The 23532-nt window shown below is 37.5% G+C and overlaps 1 protein-coding gene across 16 annotated transcripts in view; it reads left to right on the top strand.

The window, feature by feature from the left end:
- SACS (sacsin molecular chaperone) overlaps positions 1-22520 on the top strand; it is a 104873-nt gene extending 82353 nt beyond the window's left edge. For 9 of the 16 annotated variants that reach the window (XM_047430261.1, NM_014363.6, XM_047430262.1 and 6 more), the window contains one exon: positions 9660-22520. In XM_047430261.1, the coding sequence (XP_047286217.1) occupies positions 9660-21214 (11555 nt within the window). In that variant the 3' untranslated portion in view covers positions 21215-22520. Of the gene's footprint in view, positions 1-4512; positions 4540-9659 lie in introns of all 16 variants that reach the window. The other 7 variants (XM_047430257.1, NM_001437336.1, XM_047430258.1 and 4 more) reach the window with 1 other exon arrangement.

Raw genomic sequence — 23532 nt, 5'->3', positions numbered from 1 at the left:
ATGAGATTTGGGTGGGGACACAGCCAAACCATATCACTAGCCTTTAAACTTTTTTAAACCAGTCATATGGGTATCTTCCCACTTATTTTTATCTGTGTGTTCCAGACAAAAATTAGTTTTTGATATAACTTTATTGCCATTAATGGTTTTAATGTTTTGAGAGCATGATGATATAGGGCCTTACGGGGAACCAGTAAGTGACACCTTGCTTTCCTTTCCTGAGTTGTGAGTCAGTGAAGACATAGTGAAGACATAGCAGAGGGATTGAGCAGATGGATGTCAGAAGCCACCTCTGTCACTGATTATTGTGATATTGGAGATTATAGCTGTGGCAGGCATTGGATTTCTATTGACTCCCAGAGTGAAATGGATTAGCTCACCAGTCTAGTCACAGGTAGCCCTGGAAAGCCACAGACTTCCTTCCAGAGGTCCTGCCCCTACTAAACATCTGTCCCTTTGAGTCCTGCTGAGCATGTGCAGATGCTTTTTCTCAACTTACCAATCATGTAAGTCATCTTGCTTTCTGGTGGTATGGGGCCTATTGGGGGAATTAGTGAGTACAGGAGAAGAAAGGCGGAGTATTATGTTTATGGAGCCCCCTTCATATATGGTAGGGAGCATCACAGACATGTAACTACATTTGATATTTTTTGCTCTACATAATGATTACTCCATTGCTTTGCTGACACAGAGCACTATGGAATTCTGTTTATGAGTGATCAGTAAACACTGATTGGCCAGTCTTGGAAGTACTACTGCATAAAATGGAAACATCATATGTTTTTTCTGATATGGAAACTTTTCCTCTAATTCTGTAGCTCAAACAAAATTTGTCACATTATTTAATAATTGTACCTTTTCCTTGTATTACATTTAAAATCCTTAGCTAAATATTGAGCTACTGCTTGTATTTTTAGTGTTTACTTCTACTGCCCCTTTTATTAGCAGTTAAATATGTTTCACTATATTTCATTTCAGGAAAAACAAAACAGACCTCCACCTTGATTTTCTTTCTTGTATTCTATCATAGTCCAGCTTCCGGAAAGAGTTGTCTTATTGTCTGTACTTCCTCCTTATTTATTATCACTCCAAACAGACTTTTGCTTCCACTGTCATTCCACTAAAATAGTCTGGCTGACGTCACTAGTTAATGATTTTTCTGTTACTCAGCTCAGTGGATTTTTCTGTTTCTTTTACCTGATCTCCCAGAAGCTTGGTATTCCTCTTTGAAGCCCTCAGCCATGATGATACCATTCCTTCTTGGCATTCACTGATTTTGCCTGCTTCTCAGAATTATTTGTGAACCTCTGTTCCTCACTTCACTCCCTAAATACGTGTTAGTGTGGGGGCTCCTTCCTCAGCTCTTTTACTTTGTTCCTTTCCTTGAATACATTCATCCACTCCCATGAAAGTGTTAGTGACCACCATATCTTCAGTCACCACCCTAGTCTTCAGAGAGGTAGTGTAGCAGAGATTAAAAACCTGGATTTTGTAGTTACCCAGATCTGGGCTTAAACTTCACTCCTCTATTGTGTGACTTTGAACAAATTTTCTACCCTCTCTGAGCCCCTGTTTCCTCATCAGTAACATGGTAATACAGTACTATCCTTCTAAGGGTATATCTCAAGGTCCCCAGGATTTGATTACAGAAAATTCAGGATTGCTTCACTGCAAGGATAATGAAATAAGGATTGAGCAGAGGATGGGAGCAACCACACCTTGCCAGTTGAGTTGTATCCAAGTTTGTGTTATTGCAGCAGATCAGGTTATTGAAAGCTTCATTGTAATATTTTACTCACAGCAGGCATTATGCTGAAGATCGAATGATGAATACGTAATACATATAGTTTAACATAATATCCGGCACTTAATATAATACTGACAAATGGTAGCTATTGTTAGCATTTTGCACTTGGAATCCCATAAGTATTTCAAAATCAATATTGCAAAACTTTAGTCTTCATCCTCTCCCCAAATCTGTTTCTCATTTTGAGTGATCCCACTGAAAATAACACTACTGTCCACAAGATTGCTCAAGAATGAATCCTTAAATTTTCTTCTTTGTTCCCCACAGTCTCCAGGATCTGTTGACTAAATTTTCTGTGCCAGTCCCTTGGTCTTACTCCACTGCCTATTACAGGTCCTCTAATTTCTCGTAATGTTGTTACTGGACTCTTGCAGTTGATGTCCCTGTCTACAGCGCTTGGGCTTCATCTGATCATGTCACCCTCCTGCTGCAGGTTTTCCAGTGGACATTGAATCTATCAGGATAAATCTAGCCCTGCTAGCATGAACTAGGGGACTTTCCATGATTGTAAACTTCCATGATTTTGGAGTGCTGTCTCACTGGCCTTGGTGCATGCAAGCGCCCTCTTCTGTTCTAATTGCCCTCTTCTGTTCTAATTATACAAGCACTTGTAGGTTGATGAACTTGAATCCTCCCTATATTTCATGAGAGCAGAGAGACCTGTCAGATTTGTTACCACCATCTAGCACAGTGCCTACTTCAGTGTAGGTGCTCAGTATTTTTTTTCCTGCATGAAAATTTTCTCATAGCTGCCCTTTTGTACATGGTGTTCCTTTTGCTTAGAATACTTTCTTTCCATCCTCTACTTTGCCCAGCTAATGTTTATTCATCATTCAGTACTGAGCTCATGTGTCACCTCCAGGAAGCTTTCTTTGACATCTTGCCCTGTGCCTCACCCCTGCCCTGCAGTCTGAGGTGAATGCCTCTCTTTTGCTCTTGGAACCCAGTACATAGTCCATATGATCCTCTTTGCTTTATTAGAATCATGTTTTTACTGTGCTACACTGCAACATCCTTGAGAGCAAGGGCAATCTTTATTTTTATATTTCCAAGGTCTGGCCGAGAGCCTGCTTGCCAAGTTTGACTGGATAAGTTGATGCTTCAGCTGCTGGGCTGGGTGGGGACCGCATGGAGGAGATGGGGCGCAGAGGCCAAAAGGCAAATCTCTTTCTTAGTGTCTGTGAGTTAATAGTTCTCTTCAAATCAGTGTCTTCTGTAATCTTGTTTATTCTTTACAACCATGAGATAATAGAGCCTGTATCTCCATTTGAGAGATTGAGACATTGAAGCTCAAAGAAATTGAGGGATTTAAATGACTTGCTTGAGTTGCAGAGTTGAAGCTATGATTTTTGTTTTTTTAATTTCCAGGTCTGAATTATTTCTGTATTAAGTTGCTTAAGTAAATGGATGGATATCAGAAATTGGAGAATAGTTAGAAGAGCAGGTAAATGGATTTTGGATGAAGAAAAAGGAAACAAGAACAGTTTAGTGGTACAGATGCTTGGTGTCGGGTCTTATTTATAATTTTTAAAATTTTCATACTTATTTATTAGATGAGACCAAAATCCGTAACCTTTCCTATGAGGCACTTCATTAGCTGGCTCCATTTTCTGGGTGTTATGAAGATGCCTGGTACATGGAAGGTTCTATTGATATTTGCTATTTTTAATCTCCTTCCCTTAGTTCCATGCTTTTTCCTGTTTGGAGGACAGCATGTTCTGTCCCTCCCTCAGGTGTGATACATGTGGCTTCCTTGCCAACTCCTCCATTCACTACCTCTGCTCATCTTTCATGCAACCCATGTGTGCTTCCATGCTCTGTTCTCCATGGCACTCACACACTGGTACCTGTTTAAGTATTTGTAATAATTTATCTGATACTTGCCTTCTCCATTAGACTGTAGGGCCAGGTCTGGGACCATGTCTAGTTGTCCATTTCTATATCTCTAGCACTCAATCAGTATTGCCTAACTAACAAGGTGCCTGTTGCTAAAGTGATTAGAATGATGTTAAGATGAGAAGAATTGAGTTTCTTTGGTTACACCTTTGCTCTCTATCTTAGCTACTAGTTTAGTTAGCCTAAGGGACCCAAATACACAGAAATCTCACAGAACTGTAGCAGTCCAGTTGATTAAAAGTTTCTTGCTTCATTCAAGCAGAGGAGGGATAGATGTTCGTGGAACAATTCTTAGAAGTTTGTAATTATTGTTGGTTACCATGGACAAGCAGTGGAAATAGATGATAAAATCTCTTTTTCTTTATTATAAAGTTGGAATTAATTGTACACTTTGTGTAGGTACTCCAAAACTTTTTAAAAATTAAAAATTTAAAAAATCAGGTTTTTTAATCTAGAATCTCTGAACATGATAGCCTGTGCAAAAAGCTCACTGGTAGCTTATCAAATGACGTTATGCAGCTATAATGTAATTTGCGCATATGAAGTCCATAATTCTTTCTTTGCTTTCTTTCTGAACCAACACTCCTGACTCTTACGTACTTCGATTTAGTTTGCACTGAAATATAGCTTTAAATCTTAGATGTGTATTCTGCTATGTTTGGAGTTTTGTTTCTGGGTTTTCTTTTACATAAGGATCTGTAAAGATTCTACAGACAGCAGTATCTTAAGATACAGAATAATTTCTGTAGCCATCATGTGAAAACTGACAATTCTGACCTCTTCTAAGAATGGATTTAATTGTATTCTAGCACAACAACAACTCTGGGGATATTCAGGTAGGATAACTGAATGTTGTGTTCATTTGAAGCCTGATGTTTTTGTTCATTTGGCTCTTCGAATTCTGTTTTTGCATTTACCTAAGTAGCTAGAAATTATGTCAACAATTTTTTTTCTGGTGGTAATAACTATAATATTAAAGGAGAGAGGAAACCATACTAATACAGATTTTTATTATTACAAATACCACGGTAAAACCATATTCAAATGACTTGGAAACATTCACTTCATAGAACATTTAGTCTCTAATCAAAGAATGGTGTGGGAATCTGTATTTTAAGCTGTGGTATTTAATGGGAAGTTTGATAGTGAATGCACCTCTATTATACGACGCACACAAATATTCCGATTAAAAAGCATAGAGGGGGCCAGGCTCGGTGGCTCACGCCTGTAATCCCAGCATTTTGGGAGGCAGAGGCAGGTGGGTCACGAGGTCAGGAGTTCAAGACCAGCTTGGCCAAGATGGTAAAACCTCGTCTCTACTAAAAATACAAAAAATTAGCCAGGCGTGGTGGCAGGCACCTTTAATCCCAGCTACTTGGGAGGCTGAGGCAGAAAACTGCTTGAACCCGGGCGGCAGAGGTTGCAGTGAACTGAGACCGCGCCACTGAGCTCCAGCCTGGGCGACAGAGCGGGACTCTGTCTCAAAACACACAAAAACAAAAACAAACAAAAAGAACAGAGAGGGAAGTAGATTCTGGGATCTGTGACTGTGAAGTTAGGCGACCACAGCCTTTCTGTTTTGGAGTCTGGCTCAGTGTGCTACGGTTGGTGACGGCAGGGACCCCCGTCCTGGGTGTGCAGAGGAAGGGAAGGTGGCCAGCCTAGCTCTCATTGGGGAGAGTCAGCCGATTGTTCTTACAGTGCCTCGTGTGTCATTTTACTGACTGCCTTTTTTTTTAATAAATAAAAAATTTTTGACTCAACTAGTGGTCCTATTTTCCCCAAGTTCATGTTCCATTTGGAAACTTATAGGATATAAGATTTGCTTTATAGAAATCATTTTTATGATAAATGTTATTATTTGAAGCAGGTGATACACTAAAATTAGTTTAGAAACCAAGTCATTATTATAGTGATAATTCATATAAAAATTTTTGGGTTTCTAGCTTATATTAAAAGTGGTTTATCATTCACGGTTCTTACTATTATATTTTTCTTAAAGCTTTGTCAATGTATCTTACATGTTTTAAGGTGGTATCAAATCAAAGAGGAAAACAAAATCTTGATATAAGTAGAGTGCATAATTAACACATGCCCTGGTACTGTCTGGTTACATCAGCGATTCTCTTAAGACGAAAGCTAAGAAGTCAGAGTGTCAGTGGTGATTTTTTAGGAAGAAATGTGGTCACTGGGGCTAATGTTGAACCACCCTGGCTTGCTGGACTTTTATGCTGGGCCCTGGGACCTGCAGTGCCACTGCTAGGCTGGAGGTGGAGGGAGTCTGACCTGGCAGGAAGGCTGCCCTTTTCTTTCCTTCCTTTTTTAGTTTGGTTGTTTCATTTCTTTTTTTCTATTCTCTCTTCATTTCTTTGAAGAGCGACTGATCTACAGTACACCATTTAATTGAACCTTGACTGTACATTTACAAAGAGATTTGCATCTCTGTGCTCAGTAGGGCATTGTTAGAACTCATCAGCTACGCAAGCTGCCAGTGCCTCTTTCTGTACAAGAGAAAAGTATAAAAAACTGTCACTGTGCTTACAGCTTTGGATGGATTGTTATTGTAGCCAGCTGGAGACTGGAGGAGTCTGGTTGAATGTAGTAAACTCTCAGTTAATTAAAGCATTCAGGACTGAGATTTCTTGGTTAAGTAAATTTTTAAGTAGACTATATATAATATTTCCATCTGTGCTGGAATTCATTCTCAAGGTTAGCACTGAACATAAATGTAAACAATAAAAAATAGTGCAGTCTTTGAGTACTGATTCATTATGTTGATGTTATTATTTTGAACAAATGAGGGATTGAACTGATAATAGTGAAGCAAAAGCTACTCTTGGAAGAGTTCCTTCTAAGTTAAATTTGGTAATTGTTTAAACCTTTCTGCCTCTTGGAATAATTTCAGTACTGTAGCTAACCTCTGAGACAGTGCTGATAATTTTTAAGGCTACAAAAACCATTTCATTTATTAAACTGCTACAAAAATTATTTTGCTGATCCTATTAGAGGTGCTTTACAATTTCTATGGCTTTCTAACCCAGGACATGGAGACTTGTTTCTGTGTTAACATTTATAACTAAAAAGCTGAATGTCTTAAATACAATGGATAGAATTCAGGACCTCAGATTGAACTGACTTAATTTACGTATACCGGTGTCTTACTACATTTTCTCTCTCCTTTATTTTCTTTCATGTTTTTTTCCGTTGAGCATGACCGATGTGTTAGTTGCATGCTATATGTAGTGTGTGTGTGTGTGTTTTGTTGGCATTTAATTTATACATTAAATGAGATAATTTTCCTGAAGGTAGGTATACGTTTTATAAATTGCCAAATTTCATGCAAGGCTATTGGGTAAGATTATCTATGGAATGCATGTCGTGGCAATTATTAACATAGAGCACAAAGTGGTGTATATTTAATTTTTTGTTTTCTGAGTGTTTTGAATTTTAATTTCTAACCCTTTTTTTGTATCTCTAGTATTATATCCTTGTCTTATGATTTGGATATTCCATTATAGTTAAATCTGATTCGGTGAGAATTTTTAAAGAACAATGTTGTAAAATTATATTTCAATAAGACTCACAGATCAAACAGGCTATACTAGTCAAGCTGCTGACAAAATTTTGTAATTTCTTAAATATTGCTGCTTGCATTATCGTAAATCACACAATGTAGAAACTGAAAAATATTCTGAATTTGGGTATTGACACCTTCCTAAAGTTGCAAAAGTGTGCCCTTGCTTATTAAATTTCTATGGCAGTAATTTTTAAATGTCTTATTGTTACATGAAAGGCAATTTCTTGGTAGAAGATAAAGTCATCTTTTTTATACGTAGGCCTCTGAAATAAAGGGTATGCTTTCTTGGATAAAAAAGTAACAATACGCAAAAGTTTCCAGAGCCTGAGGCGGGATTCCTCTTATAATATTTTCCAAACTTGCTCTTTTTATTTATTTATTTTTTTGAGACGGAGCCTTGCTCTGTCGCCCAGGCTGGAGTGCAGTGGCGCAATCTCGGCTCACTGCAACCTCCGCCTCCCGGGTTCAAGCAGTTCTCTGCCTCAGCCTCTTGAGTAGCTGGGACTACAGGTGCCTGCCACCACGCCCGGCTAATTTTTGTATTTTTAGTAGAGATGGGGTTTCACCATCTTGGCCAGGCTGGTCTTGAACTCCTGACCTCGTGTTCCACCCGCTTTGGCGCCCCAAAGTGGTGGGATTACAGATGTGAGCCACTGTGCCTTGCCACTCTTTCAAGAGTCTAGAAGTCATATGTACATAGGGAGAATATTGAATGTTAGTGTCTATACAAGATCGAATTTGAGATGTTTTTTATTTCTCTGGGAAAAATATACCTGTAGATGTATGGTGTTATTTTTTTTCATTTTGTTCCTACTGATATTATAAATGTTATACTCTGAAATACTAAATTCACTTAGAAAGAAACTGTTAATTTCTAGGCCAGTGGTTAAAATCAGTAAAAACTGCCCCCTTCAACCCAAGGAAATATCTTCTGAGTGTTTTAGTTTATCAGACATCCAAAAGTGGAGCTGCTCTGCTGCCTTCACAGCACTGCCCCACGTGCTCCCTTTGTTGCCTCCAAAGTATTTCTGCAAAAATCCCAGGGCTCTGAAGAGCACACTTTAATAATAAGTAGCTAGATAAAGGGTACTTTGAAAAAGTTGTAAATATGCTCTGTATTTGGGCATAAATATAGAGCAGTCTTTAGATCTAGAATCTCATCCCCATTATTTTTCCAAATGAGAGAATTCAAGTCCCAGAAAGATGAAATGGTACTTAAATTAGACATCTGTTTAGTTGTTGAAAGGAAACCATGTAAGTCTCATTGCTGCCTCAGCTTCAGAAAGCTCTGGTCAGCTGCAACTGAGACTCCAGTCTCTGTGCGCTGACTTCATGACCTTCTCTGTAGGTCATGCAGCTGTGTGGCTCCTGGAAACTTGAAGTTAACACAAAACATCCTTCATACAGGTTGGGTGTCCCTAACCCAAAAATCTGAAACCCCAAATGTTCCAAAATCTGAAACAAGTATCTACATGACACTCAAAAGAAATGCTCATTGGAGCATTTTGGATTTCAGATTTTTTGGATTTGGAATGCTCAACTGGTAAGTACAATGTAAATATTCCAAAGTCCAAAAGAGTCCGAAATGCAAAACACTTCTGGTCACAAGCATTCAGATAAGGGATACTCAGCCTTTATTGGGGTTGTGTATCAATTTTTACCTTTAAATAAAAAGATTCTTATATAAATTTTATCTGCATTTTTCCTTGGTGTTTTTATTTGTGGGCAAATAAGCGCTAAACATTGTTTTCCATGTTGATTTCATTTGCAGAACATTATAGGATACTTTAAAAAACATATTTAAATGCATTTTGTATATTTATTTCAAATAAGCATTTTCCAGGCAGAATTATTTTTGTCACAGGTTATTGTAAATATGGATTTATATATAGATTTTCTATCACTATTATTTAAAAATTATTTTAGCCCAGTTTTGCTGAATTTTTACATGTACTTCCAACTCTTAGAAAATTTTCCAGTACTGGCCGGGCGTGGTGGCTCATGCCTGTAATCCCAGCACTTTGGGAGGCCAAGGCGGGTGGGTCACGAGGTCAGGAGATTGAGACCATCCTGGCTAACATGGTGAAACCCCGTCTCTACTAAAAACACAAAAAAATTAACTGGGTGTGGTGGCGGGCCCTTGTAGTCCCAGCTACTCGGGAGGCTGAGGCAGGAGAATGGCGTGAACCCGGGAGGCGGAGCTTGCAGTGAGCTGAGATTGTGCTACTGCACTCCAGCCTGGGCGACAGAGCAAGACTCCGTCAAAAAAAAAAAAAAAAAAAAAAAAAAGAACCTTCCAGTACTGTGTTATTTGTGAGAATAGAAAGCTGTTGTAGTAGAATTATATGTATTTATGACATTTCTGTGTATGATTTACAGGAAGACCATGTACTCAGCTGCAGCTTCTAAATCCAGAACGATTTGCACGTCTTATCAAGGAAGTAATGAATACATTCTGGCCTGGCAGAGAATTGATTGTTCAATGGTATCCATTTGATGAAAACAGAAATCACCCATCTGTTTCATGGCTTAAGATGGTTTGGAAAAATCTTTATATACATTTTTCAGAGGATTTGACTTTATTTGATGAGATGCCACTTATCCCCAGAACTATACTAGAGGAAGGTCAGACATGTGTGGAACTCATTAGACTCAGGATTCCATCGTTAGTCATTTTAGACGATGAATCTGAAGCACAGCTTCCAGAATTTTTAGCAGACATTGTACAAAAACTTGGAGGGTTTGTCCTTAAAAAATTAGATGCATCTATACAACATCCGCTTATTAAAAAATATATTCATTCACCATTACCAAGTGCTGTTTTGCAGATAATGGAGAAGATGCCATTGCAGAAATTGTGTAATCAAATAACTTCGCTACTTCCAACACACAAAGATGCCCTGAGGAAGTTCTTGGCTAGTTTAACCGATAGCAGTGAGAAAGAGAAAAGAATTATTCAAGAATTGGCAATATTCAAGCGCATTAACCATTCTTCTGATCAGGGAATTTCCTCTTATACAAAATTGAAAGGTTGTAAAGTCTTACACCATACTGCCAAACTCCCAGCAGATCTGCGACTTTCTATTTCAGTAATAGACAGTAGTGATGAAGCTACTATTCGTCTGGCAAACATGTTGAAAATAGAACAGTTAAAGACCACTAGCTGCTTAAAGCTTGTTTTAAAAGATATTGAAAATGCATTTTATTCACATGAAGAGGTAACACAGCTTATGTTATGGGTCCTTGAGAATCTATCTTCTCTTAAAAATGAGAATCCAAATGTGCTTGAGTGGTTAACACCATTAAAATTCATCCAGATATCACAGGAACAGATGGTATCAGCTGGTGAACTCTTTGACCCTGATATAGAAGTACTAAAGGATCTCTTTTGTAATGAAGAAGGAACCTATTTCCCACCCTCAGTTTTTACCTCACCAGATATTCTTCACTCCTTAAGACAGATTGGTTTAAAAAACGAAGCCAGTCTCAAAGAAAAGGATGTTGTGCAAGTGGCAAAAAAAATTGAAGCCTTACAGGTCGGTGCTTGTCCTGATCAAGATGTTCTTCTGAAGAAAGCCAAAACCCTCTTACTGGTTTTAAATAAGAATCACACACTGTTGCAATCATCTGAAGGAAAGATGACATTGAAGAAAATAAAATGGGTTCCAGCCTGCAAGGAAAGGCCTCCAAATTATCCAGGCTCTTTGGTCTGGAAAGGAGATCTCTGTAATCTCTGTGCACCACCAGATATGTGTGATGTAGGCCATGCAATTCTCATTGGCTCCTCACTTCCTCTTGTTGAAAGTATCCATGTAAACCTGGAAAAAGCATTAGGGATCTTCACAAAACCTAGCCTTAGTGCTGTCTTAAAACACTTTAAAATTGTTGTTGATTGGTATTCTTCAAAAACCTTTAGTGATGAAGACTACTATCAATTCCAGCATATTTTGCTTGAGATTTACGGATTCATGCATGATCATCTAAATGAAGGGAAAGATTCTTTTAGAGCCTTAAAATTTCCATGGGTTTGGACTGGCAAAAAGTTTTGTCCACTTGCCCAGGCTGTGATTAAACCAATCCATGATCTTGACCTTCAGCCTTATTTGCATAATGTACCTAAAACCATGGCAAAATTCCACCAACTATTTAAGGTCTGTGGTTCAATAGAGGAGTTGACATCAGATCATATTTCCATGGTTATTCAGAAGATATATCTCAAAAGTGACCAAGATCTCAGTGAACAAGAAAGCAAACAAAATCTTCATCTTATGTTGAATATTATCAGATGGCTGTATAGCAATCAGATTCCAGCAAGCCCCAACACACCAGTTCCTATACATCATAGCAAAAATCCTTCTAAACTTATCATGAAGCCAATTCACGAATGCTGTTATTGTGACATTAAAGTTGATGACCTTAATGACTTACTTGAAGATTCTGTGGAACCAATCATTTTGGTGCATGAGGACATACCCATGAAAACTGCAGAATGGCTAAAAGTTCCATGCCTTAGTACAAGACTGATAAATCCTGAAAACATGGGATTTGAGCAGTCAGGACAAAGAGAGCCACTTACTGTAAGAATTAAAAATATTCTGGAAGAATACCCTTCAGTGTCAGATATTTTTAAAGAACTACTTCAAAACGCTGATGATGCAAATGCAACAGAATGCAGTTTCTTGATTGATATGAGAAGAAATATGGACATAAGAGAGAATCTCCTAGACCCAGGGATGGCAGCTTGTCATGGACCTGCTTTGTGGTCATTCAACAATTCTCAATTCTCAGATTCAGATTTTGTGAACATAACTAGGTTAGGAGAATCTTTAAAAAGGGGAGAAGTTGACAAAGTTGGAAAATTTGGTCTTGGATTTAATTCTGTGTACCATATCACTGACATTCCCATCATTATGAGTCGGGAATTCATGATAATGTTCGATCCAAACATAAATCATATCAGTAAACACATTAAAGACAAATCCAATCCTGGGATCAAAATTAATTGGAGTAAACAACAGAAAAGACTTAGAAAATTTCCTAATCAGTTCAAACCATTTATAGATGTATTTGGCTGTCAGTTACCTTTGACTGTAGAAGCACCTTACAGCTATAATGGAACCCTTTTCCGACTGTCCTTTAGAACTCAACAGGAAGCAAAAGTGAGTGAAGTTAGTAGTACGTGCTACAATACAGCAGATATTTATTCTCTTGTGGATGAATTTAGTCTCTGTGGACACAGGCTTATCATTTTCACTCAGAGTGTAAAGTCAATGTATTTGAAGTACTTGAAAATTGAGGAAACCAACCCCAGTTTAGCACAAGATACAGTAATAATTAAAAAAAAATCCTGCTCTTCCAAAGCATTGAACACACCTGTCTTAAGTGTTTTAAAAGAGGCTGCTAAGCTCATGAAGACTTGCAGCAGCAGTAATAAAAAGCTTCCCAGTGATGAACCAAAGTCATCTTGCATTCTTCAGATCACAGTGGAAGAATTTCACCATGTGTTCAGAAGGATTGCTGATTTACAGTCGCCACTTTTTAGAGGTCCAGATGATGACCCAGCTGCTCTCTTTGAAATGGCTAAGTCTGGCCAATCAAAAAAGCCATCAGATGAGTTGTCACAGAAAACAGTAGAGTGTACCACGTGGCTTCTGTGTACTTGCATGGACACAGGAGAGGCTCTGAAGTTTTCCCTGAGTGAGAGTGGAAGAAGACTAGGACTGGTTCCATGTGGGGCAGTAGGAGTTCAGCTGTCAGAAATCCAGGACCAGAAGTGGACAGTGAAACCACACATTGGAGAGGTGTTTTGCTATTTACCTTTACGAATAAAAACAGGCTTGCCAGTTCATATCAATGGGTGCTTTGCTGTTACATCAAATAGGAAAGAAATCTGGAAAACAGATACAAAAGGACGATGGAATACCACGTTCATGAGACATGTTATTGTGAAAGCTTACTTACAGGTACTGAGTGTCTTACGGGACCTGGCCACTAGTGGGGAGCTAATGGATTATACTTACTATGCAGTATGGCCCGATCCTGATTTAGTTCATGATGATTTTTCTGTAATTTGCCAAGGATTTTATGAAGATATAGCTCATGGAAAAGGGAAAGAACTGACCAAAGTCTTCTCTGATGGATCTACTTGGGTTTCCATGAAGAACGTAAGATTTCTAGATGACTCTATACTTAAAAGAAGAGATGTTGGTTCAGCAGCCTTCAAGATATTTTTGAAATACCTCAAGAAGACTGGGTCCAAAAACCTTTGTGCTGTTGAACTTCCTTCTTCGGTAAAATTAGGATTTGAAGAAGCTGGCTGCAAACAGATACTACTTGAAAACACATTTTCAGAGAAACAGTTTTTTTCTGAAGTGTTTTTTCCAAATATTCAAGAAATTGAAGCAGAACTTAGAGATCCTTTAATGATCTTTGTTCTAAATGAAAAAGTTGATGAGTTCTCGGGAGTTCTTCGTGTTACTCCATGTATTCCTTGTTCCTTGGAGGGGCATCCTTTGGTTTTGCCATCAAGATTGATCCACCCCGAAGGACGAGTTGCAAAGTTATTTGATATTAAAGATGGGAGATTCCCTTATGGTTCTACTCAGGATTATCTCAATCCTATTATTTTGATTAAACTAGTTCAGTTAGGTATGGCAAAAGATGATATTTTATGGGATGATATGCTAGAACGTGCAGTGTCAGTAGCTGAAATTAATAAAAGTGATCATGTTGCTGCATGCCTAAGAAGTAGTATCTTATTGAGTCTTATCGATGAGAAACTAAAAATAAGGGATCCTAGAGCAAAGGATTTTGCTGCAAAATATCAAACAATCCGCTTCCTTCCATTTCTGACAAAACCAGCAGGTTTTTCTTTGGACTGGAAAGGCAACAGTTTTAAGCCTGAAACCATGTTTGCAGCAACTGACCTTTATACAGCTGAACATCAAGATATAGTTTGTCTTTTGCAACCAATTCTAAATGAAAATTCCCATTCTTTTAGAGGTTGTGGTTCAGTGTCATTGGCTGTTAAAGAGTTTTTGGGATTACTCAAGAAGCCAACAGTTGATCTGGTTATAAACCAATTGAAAGAAGTAGCAAAATCAGTTGATGATGGAATTACACTGTACCAGGAGAATATCACCAATGCTTGCTACAAATACCTTCATGAAGCCTTGATGCAAAATGAAATCACTAAGATGTCAATTATTGATAAGTTAAAACCCTTTAGCTTCATTCTAGTTGAGAATGCATATGTTGACTCAGAAAAGGTTTCTTTTCATTTAAATTTTGAGGCGGCACCATACCTTTATCAGTTGCCTAATAAGTATAAAAATAATTTCCGCGAACTTTTTGAAACCGTGGGTGTGAGGCAGTCATGCACTGTTGAAGATTTTGCTCTTGTTTTGGAATCTATTGATCAAGAAAGAGGAACAAAGCAAATAACAGAAGAGAATTTTCAGCTTTGCCGACGAATAATCAGTGAAGGAATATGGAGTCTCATTAGAGAAAAGAAACAAGAATTTTGTGAGAAAAATTATGGCAAGATATTATTGCCAGATACTAATCTTATGCTTCTCCCTGCTAAATCGTTATGCTACAATGATTGCCCTTGGATAAAAGTAAAGGATACCACTGTAAAATATTGTCATGCTGACATACCCAGGGAAGTAGCAGTAAAACTAGGAGCAGTCCCAAAGCGACACAAAGCCTTAGAAAGATATGCATCCAATGTCTGTTTTACAACACTTGGCACAGAATTTGGGCAGAAAGAAAAATTGACCAGCAGAATTAAGAGCATCCTTAATGCATATCCTTCTGAAAAGGAAATGTTGAAAGAGCTTCTTCAAAATGCTGATGATGCAAAGGCGACAGAAATCTGTTTTGTGTTTGATCCTAGACAGCATCCAGTTGATAGAATATTTGATGATAAGTGGGCCCCATTGCAAGGGCCAGCACTTTGTGTGTACAACAACCAGCCATTTACAGAAGATGATGTTAGAGGAATTCAGAATCTTGGAAAAGGCACGAAAGAGGGAAATCCTTATAAAACTGGACAGTATGGAATAGGATTCAATTCTGTGTATCATATCACAGACTGCCCATCTTTTATTTCTGGCAATGACATCCTGTGTATTTTTGATCCTCATGCCAGATATGCACCAGGGGCCACATCCATTAGTCCCGGACGCATGTTTAGAGATTTGGATGCAGATTTTAGGACACAGTTCTCAGATGTTCTGGATCTTTATCTGGGAACCCATTTTAAACTGGATAATTGCACAATGTTCAGATTTCCTCTTCGTAATGCAGAAATGGCAAAAGTTTCGGAAATTTCGTCTGTTCCAGCATCAGACAGAATGGTCCAGAATCTTTTGGACAAACTGCGCTCAGATGGGGCAGAACTTCTAATGTTTCTTAATCACATGGAAAAAATTTCTATTTGTGAAATAGATAAGAGTACTGGAGCTCTAAATGTGCTGTATTCAGTAAAGGGCAAAATCACAGATGGAGACAGATTGAAAAGGAAACAATTTCATGCATCTGTAATTGATAGTGTTACTAAAAAGAGGCAGCTCAAAGACATACCAGTTCAACAAATAACCTATACTATGGATACTGAGGACTCTGAAGGAAATCTTACTACGTGGCTAATTTGTAATAGATCAGGCTTTTCAAGTATGGAGAAAGTATCTAAAAGTGTCATATCAGCTCACAAGAACCAAGATATTACTCTTTTCCCACGTGGTGGAGTAGCTGCCTGCATTACTCACAACTATAAAAAACCCCATAGGGCCTTCTGTTTTTTGCCTCTTTCTTTGGAGACTGGGCTGCCATTTCATGTGAATGGCCACTTTGCACTGGATTCAGCCAGAAGGAACCTGTGGCGTGATGATAATGGAGTTGGTGTTCGAAGTGACTGGAATAACAGTTTAATGACAGCATTAATAGCTCCTGCATATGTTGAATTGCTAATACAGTTAAAAAAACGGTATTTCCCTGGTTCTGATCCAACATTATCAGTGTTACAGAACACCCCTATTCATGTTGTAAAGGACACTTTAAAGAAGTTTTTATCGTTTTTCCCAGTTAACCGTCTTGATCTACAGCCAGATTTATATTGTCTAGTGAAAGCACTTTACAATTGCATTCACGAAGACATGAAACGTCTTTTACCTGTTGTGCGGGCTCCAAATATTGATGGCTCTGACTTGCACTCTGCAGTTATAATTACTTGGATCAATATGTCTACTTCTAATAAAACTAGACCATTTTTTGACAATTTACTACAGGATGAATTACAACACCTTAAAAATGCAGATTATAATATCACCACACGCAAAACAGTAGCAGAGAATGTCTATAGGCTGAAACATCTCCTTTTAGAAATTGGTTTCAACTTGGTTTATAACTGTGATGAAACTGCTAATCTTTACCACTGTCTTATAGATGCAGATATTCCTGTTAGTTATGTGACCCCTGCTGATATCAGATCTTTTTTAATGACATTTTCCTCTCCTGACACTAATTGCCATATTGGGAAGCTGCCTTGTCGTCTGCAGCAGACTAATCTAAAACTTTTTCATAGTTTAAAACTTTTAGTTGATTATTGTTTTAAAGATGCAGAAGAAAATGAGATTGAAGTTGAGGGATTGCCCCTTCTCATCACACTGGACAGTGTTTTGCAAACTTTTGATGCAAAACGACCCAAGTTTCTAACAACATATCATGAATTGATTCCATCCCGCAAAGACTTGTTTATGAATACATTATATTTGAAATATAGTAATATTTTATTGAACTGTAAAGTTGCAAAAGTGTTTGACATTTCCAGCTTTGCTGATTTGTTATCCTCTGTGTTGCCTCGAGAATATAAGACCAAAAGTTGCACAAAGTGGAAAGACAATTTTGCAAGTGAGTCTTGGCTTAAGAATGCATGGCATTTTATTAGTGAATCTGTAAGTGTGAAAGAAGATCAGGAAGAAACAAAACCAACATTTGACATTGTTGTTGATACTCTAAAAGACTGGGCATTGCTTCCAGGAACAAAGTTTACTGTTTCAGCCAACCAGCTTGTGGTTCCTGAAGGAGATGTTCTGCTTCCTCTCAGCCTTATGCACATTGCAGTTTTTCCAAATGCCCAGAGTGATAAAGTTTTTCATGCTCTAATGAAAGCTGGCTGTATTCAGCTTGCTTTGAACAAAATCTGTTCCAAAGACAGTGCATTTGTTCCTTTGTTGTCATGTCACACAGCAAATATAGAGAGCCCCACAAGCATCTTGAAGGCTCTACATTATATGGTCCAAACTTCAACATTTAGAGCAGAAAAATTAGTAGAAAATGATTTTGAGGCACTTTTGATGTATTTCAACTGCAATTTGAATCATTTGATGTCCCAAGATGATATAAAAATTCTAAAGTCACTTCCGTGCTATAAATCCATCAGTGGCCGCTATGTAAGCATTGGAAAATTTGGAACATGCTACGTACTTACAAAAAGTATCCCTTCAGCTGAAGTGGAGAAATGGACACAGTCATCATCATCTGCATTTCTTGAAGAAAAAATACACTTAAAAGAACTATATGAGGTGATTGGTTGTGTACCTGTAGATGATCTTGAGGTATATTTGAAACACCTCTTACCAAAAATTGAAAATCTCTCTTATGATGCAAAATTAGAGCACTTGATCTACCTTAAGAATAGATTATCAAGTGCTGAGGAATTATCAGAGATTAAGGAACAACTTTTTGAAAAACTGGAAAGTTTATTGATAATCCATGATGCTAACAGTAGACTAAAGCAAGCAAAGCATTTCTATGATAGAACTGTGAGAGTTTTTGAAGTTATGCTTCCTGAAAAATTGTTTATTCCTAATGATTTCTTTAAGAAATTGGAACAACTTATAAAACCCAAAAATCATGTTACATTTATGACATCCTGGGTGGAATTCTTAAGAAATATTGGACTAAAATACATACTTTCTCAGCAGCAGTTGTTACAGTTTGCTAAGGAAATCAGTGTGAGGGCTAATACAGAAAACTGGTCCAAAGAAACATTGCAAAATACAGTTGATATCCTTCTGCATCATATATTCCAAGAACGAATGGATTTGTTATCTGGAAATTTTCTGAAAGAACTATCTTTAATACCATTCTTATGTCCTGAGCGGGCCCCCGCGGAATTCATTAGATTTCATCCTCAATATCAAGAGGTAAATGGAACACTTCCTCTTATAAAGTTCAATGGAGCACAGGTAAATCCAAAATTCAAGCAATGTGATGTACTCCAGCTGTTATGGACATCCTGCCCTATTCTTCCAGAGAAAGCTACACCCTTAAGCATTAAAGAACAAGAAGGTAGTGACCTTGGTCCACAAGAACAGCTTGAACAAGTTTTAAATATGCTTAATGTTAACCTGGATCCTCCTCTTGATAAGGTAATCAATAACTGCAGAAACATATGCAACATAACGACGTTGGATGAAGAAATGGTAAAAACTAGAGCAAAAGTCTTAAGGAGCATATATGAATTCCTCAGTGCAGAAAAAAGGGAATTTCGTTTTCAGTTGCGAGGGGTTGCTTTTGTGATGGTAGAAGATGGTTGGAAACTTCTGAAGCCTGAGGAGGTAGTCATAAACCTAGAATATGAATCTGATTTTAAACCTTATTTGTACAAGCTACCTTTAGAACTTGGCACATTTCACCAGTTGTTCAAACACTTAGGTACTGAAGATATTATTTCAACTAAGCAATATGTTGAAGTGTTGAGCCGCATATTTAAAAATTCTGAGGGCAAACAATTAGATCCTAATGAAATGCGTACAGTTAAGAGAGTAGTTTCTGGTCTGTTCAGGAGTCTACAGAATGATTCAGTCAAGGTGAGGAGTGATCTCGAGAATGTACGAGACCTTGCGCTTTACCTCCCAAGCCAGGATGGTAGATTGGTAAAGTCAAGCATCTTAGTGTTTGACGATGCGCCACATTATAAAAGTAGAATCCAGGGGAATATTGGTGTGCAAATGTTAGTTGATCTCAGCCAGTGCTACTTAGGGAAAGACCATGGATTTCACACTAAGTTGATAATGCTCTTTCCTCAAAAACTTAGACCTCGATTATTGAGCAGTATACTTGAAGAACAATTAGATGAAGAGACTCCCAAAGTTTGTCAGTTTGGAGCGTTGTGTTCTCTTCAAGGAAGATTGCAGTTACTCTTGTCTTCTGAACAGTTCATTACAGGACTGATTAGAATTATGAAGCATGAAAATGATAATGCTTTTCTGGCCAATGAAGAAAAAGCCATAAGACTTTGCAAAGCCCTAAGAGAAGGATTGAAAGTATCCTGCTTTGAAAAGCTTCAAACAACATTAAGAGTTAAAGGTTTTAATCCTATTCCCCACAGCAGAAGTGAAACTTTTGCTTTTTTGAAGCGATTTGGTAATGCAGTCATCTTGCTCTACATTCAACATTCAGACAGTAAAGACATTAATTTCCTGTTAGCATTGGCAATGACTCTTAAATCAGCAACTGACAATTTGATTTCTGACACTTCATATTTAATTGCTATGCTAGGATGCAATGATATTTACAGGATTGGTGAGAAACTTGACAGTTTAGGAGTGAAATATGACTCTTCGGAGCCATCAAAACTGGAACTTCCAATGCCTGGCACACCAATTCCTGCTGAAATTCATTACACTCTGCTTATGGACCCAATGAATGTTTTTTACCCGGGAGAATATGTTGGGTACCTTGTTGATGCTGAAGGTGGTGATATCTATGGATCATACCAGCCAACATACACATATGCAATTATTGTACAAGAAGTTGAAAGAGAAGATGCTGACAATTCTAGTTTTCTAGGAAAGATATATCAGATAGATATTGGTTATAGTGAATATAAAATAGTTAGCTCTCTTGATCTGTATAAGTTTTCAAGACCTGAGGAAAGCTCTCAAAGCAGGGACAGTGCTCCTTCTACACCAACCAGCCCCACTGAGTTCCTCACCCCTGGCCTGAGAAGCATTCCTCCTCTTTTCTCTGGTAGAGAGAGCCACAAGACTTCTTCCAAACATCAGTCCCCCAAAAAGCTTAAGGTTAATTCTTTACCAGAAATCTTAAAAGAAGTGACATCTGTGGTGGAGCAAGCATGGAAGCTTCCAGAATCGGAACGAAAAAAGATTATTAGGCGGTTGTATTTGAAATGGCATCCTGACAAAAATCCAGAGAACCATGACATTGCCAATGAAGTTTTTAAACATTTGCAGAATGAAATCAACAGATTAGAAAAACAGGCTTTTCTAGATCAAAATGCAGACAGGGCCTCCAGACGAACATTTTCAACCTCAGCATCCCGATTTCAGTCAGACAAATACTCATTTCAGAGATTCTATACTTCATGGAATCAAGAAGCAACGAGCCATAAATCTGAAAGACAGCAACAGAACAAAGAAAAATGCCCCCCTTCAGCCGGACAGACTTACTCTCAAAGGTTCTTTGTTCCTCCCACTTTCAAGTCGGTTGGCAATCCAGTGGAAGCACGCAGATGGCTAAGACAAGCCAGAGCAAACTTCTCAGCTGCCAGGAATGACCTTCATAAAAATGCCAATGAGTGGGTGTGCTTTAAATGTTACCTTTCTACCAAGTTAGCTTTGATTGCAGCTGACTATGCTGTGAGGGGAAAGTCTGATAAAGATGTAAAACCAACTGCACTTGCTCAGAAAATAGAGGAATATAGTCAGCAACTTGAAGGACTGACAAATGATGTTCACACATTGGAAGCTTATGGTGTAGACAGTTTAAAAACAAGATACCCTGATTTGCTTCCCTTTCCTCAGATCCCAAATGACAGGTTCACTTCTGAGGTTGCTATGAGGGTGATGGAATGTACTGCCTGTATCATAATAAAACTTGAAAATTTTATGCAACAAAAAGTGTGAAGATATTTAACGAAAAAAAAGGTAGATCTTGAATGTGTTGTAGCACGAATAAATTGCTGTACTTCATTAAGCTTCATTGCCAATTAGCTAGGAATTGTTAAGCACATTGCAGATTGTTCTTGGAGAATTCTGGAGTTGTTATGAACATGAATACCAACGGAAAACCTTAACTGAATCTAAAAGAAAACTATTTTGAAGATGGTGGTGAGCTGCAAAATAGCTGGATGGATTTGAATGATTGGGATGATACATCATTGAACTGCACTTTATATAACCAAAGCTTAGCAGTTTGTTAGATAAGAGTCTATGTATGTCTCTGGTTAGGATGAAGTTAATTTTATGTTTTTAACATGGTATTTTTGAAGGAGCTAATGAAACACTGGACATATAATTGGTTTAAACATAAGGGGAATTAAGTCTTTGTAGTCTGTCATTTTTTTAAGTGGATCCTCTTGGATGCGTTATTTTCTCATCAGCTGGCTCTGATCATGAATTTGTTGTAATTTTATGTTGTACTCAGTGCATTTAAGAAATGGTAGAGTATTTTAATCCTATTACTTGACTAAGAGTGTGAAGGTAGTACTTTTTAGAGTGCACTGAGTGCACTTTACATCTTTATTTAAATTTTTTTTTAACATCTTATGTTTACAGGCTTCCTGTTTGATGAAGATAGCAACGGAAAACTCAAAATGGTGGCAGTTCTTATTACCAGTTGTTAGTATTGTTTCTGGAAACTGCTTGCCAAGACAACATTTATTAACTGTTAGAACACTTGCTTTATGTTTGTGTGTACATATTTTCCACAAATGTTATAATTTATATAGTGTGGTTGAACAGGATGCAATCTTTTGTTGTCTAAAGGTGCTGCAGTTAAAAAAAAAACAACCTTTTCTTTCAATATGGCATGTAGTGGAGTTTTTTTAACTTTAAAAACATCAAAAATTGTTAAAATCATTGTGTTATCTAGTAGTTTATAATTATCGGCTTATATTTCCCCATGAATGATCAGAACTGACATTTAATTCATGTTTGTCTCGCCATGCTTCTTTACTTTAACATATTTCTTTTGCAGAATGTAAAAGGTAATGATAATTAGTTTATATAAGTGTACTGGCTGTAAATGATGCTAAATATACTTTATGCAATTAAGGGCTTACAGAACATGTTGAAACTTTTTTTACTTTTATTGGGAATAAGGAATGTTTGCACCTCCACATTTTATTGCTTCTGGATGTGAAATCATGTAATTATTTCTGCTGTTATATAAAGTGCCATACTTTTAATAAAGGAAAATGTACATATGAAATCATCGTAATGGGTGTTTCCTGAGAAATAGTTCATTGGAAATCAAACTTAACATCTTAATATTAAGTTTTAATGTGTGTGTATGTGTGTATTTATTGGAAATATTAGGAAAATATTTTCCTGTATATTTTCATGCTGGAATTATAGATTTTTAGGATTAATAGAATATGAAGTGCTTGTTATATACTAGGTTTAGGTGCTCATTGATTTAGTTGAGTTTATGTCACCTTTTTAGGGAATCAGATTAGCTGATATATGTGGTATATATGTGTTTGGAAACAGATACATTAAATATTTTTTTCCTCTAGGTAGAGCTGAATTGATATTTCCATTGCCTCAGGGACAGCTGCATGTCTGGGACTAATTCACACTTTATTACTGACAGATAGGAGTTCTTCATCTTTATAGTTGAGGCACAAGTCTTCAGAGTTAGGCAGATGAGGGCTAAGAGTGCTCTCTGTTCTGGAGCTACCTGAATTCTGTGCCTTCAGCTTTATTTAAAGTACTTGCTACTTCGAAGCTTCAATTCAGCATTTAGATTTTATTGCTTTTGAATATTAAAATTTACACAGAAAACCTCATTTGGCCTTGATAGTTGATCTAGTTGGAGTTTTGTGTTTTTCCAGGCAAAAAAAAACCCCTCATAATTTGATTTTAGAAAGTTAATACAATTATATATAACTTTTTAATGAAGTGCTCCCACCAGGGACAGGCTGTACCTGTAATCAAACGCATTAGTATTTCTGCAGTTAAGGCTATGAGGGTTCACAGTAAATTGAATACACAGACCTGATCAATAGCCTTATGTAATTTGAATCAGCTTTTGCCACCAATAGTTTACAGCAGACTTATTTGAAAATTTTCACTTTTTCAAGCTTTTTAGATACTGAAATTGAGGATAAGGAATTTTGGACCTGAACTATTTTGTTATTTTACGCTTCCTCCACCCTCTTCCATAGTTTGCTTCTTTTAAAAAGAGAAAGGAAGCTGTCTACTGCTGTGTGGATCAGCTG

Source organism: Homo sapiens, chromosome 13 (genome assembly GCF_000001405.40).
Source record: "Homo sapiens chromosome 13, GRCh38.p14 Primary Assembly".
Taxonomy (NCBI): domain Eukaryota; kingdom Metazoa; phylum Chordata; class Mammalia; order Primates; family Hominidae; genus Homo; species Homo sapiens.
Note: the sequence above shows the minus strand (reverse complement) of the source record. Positions and strands in the feature narration are given on the sequence as shown.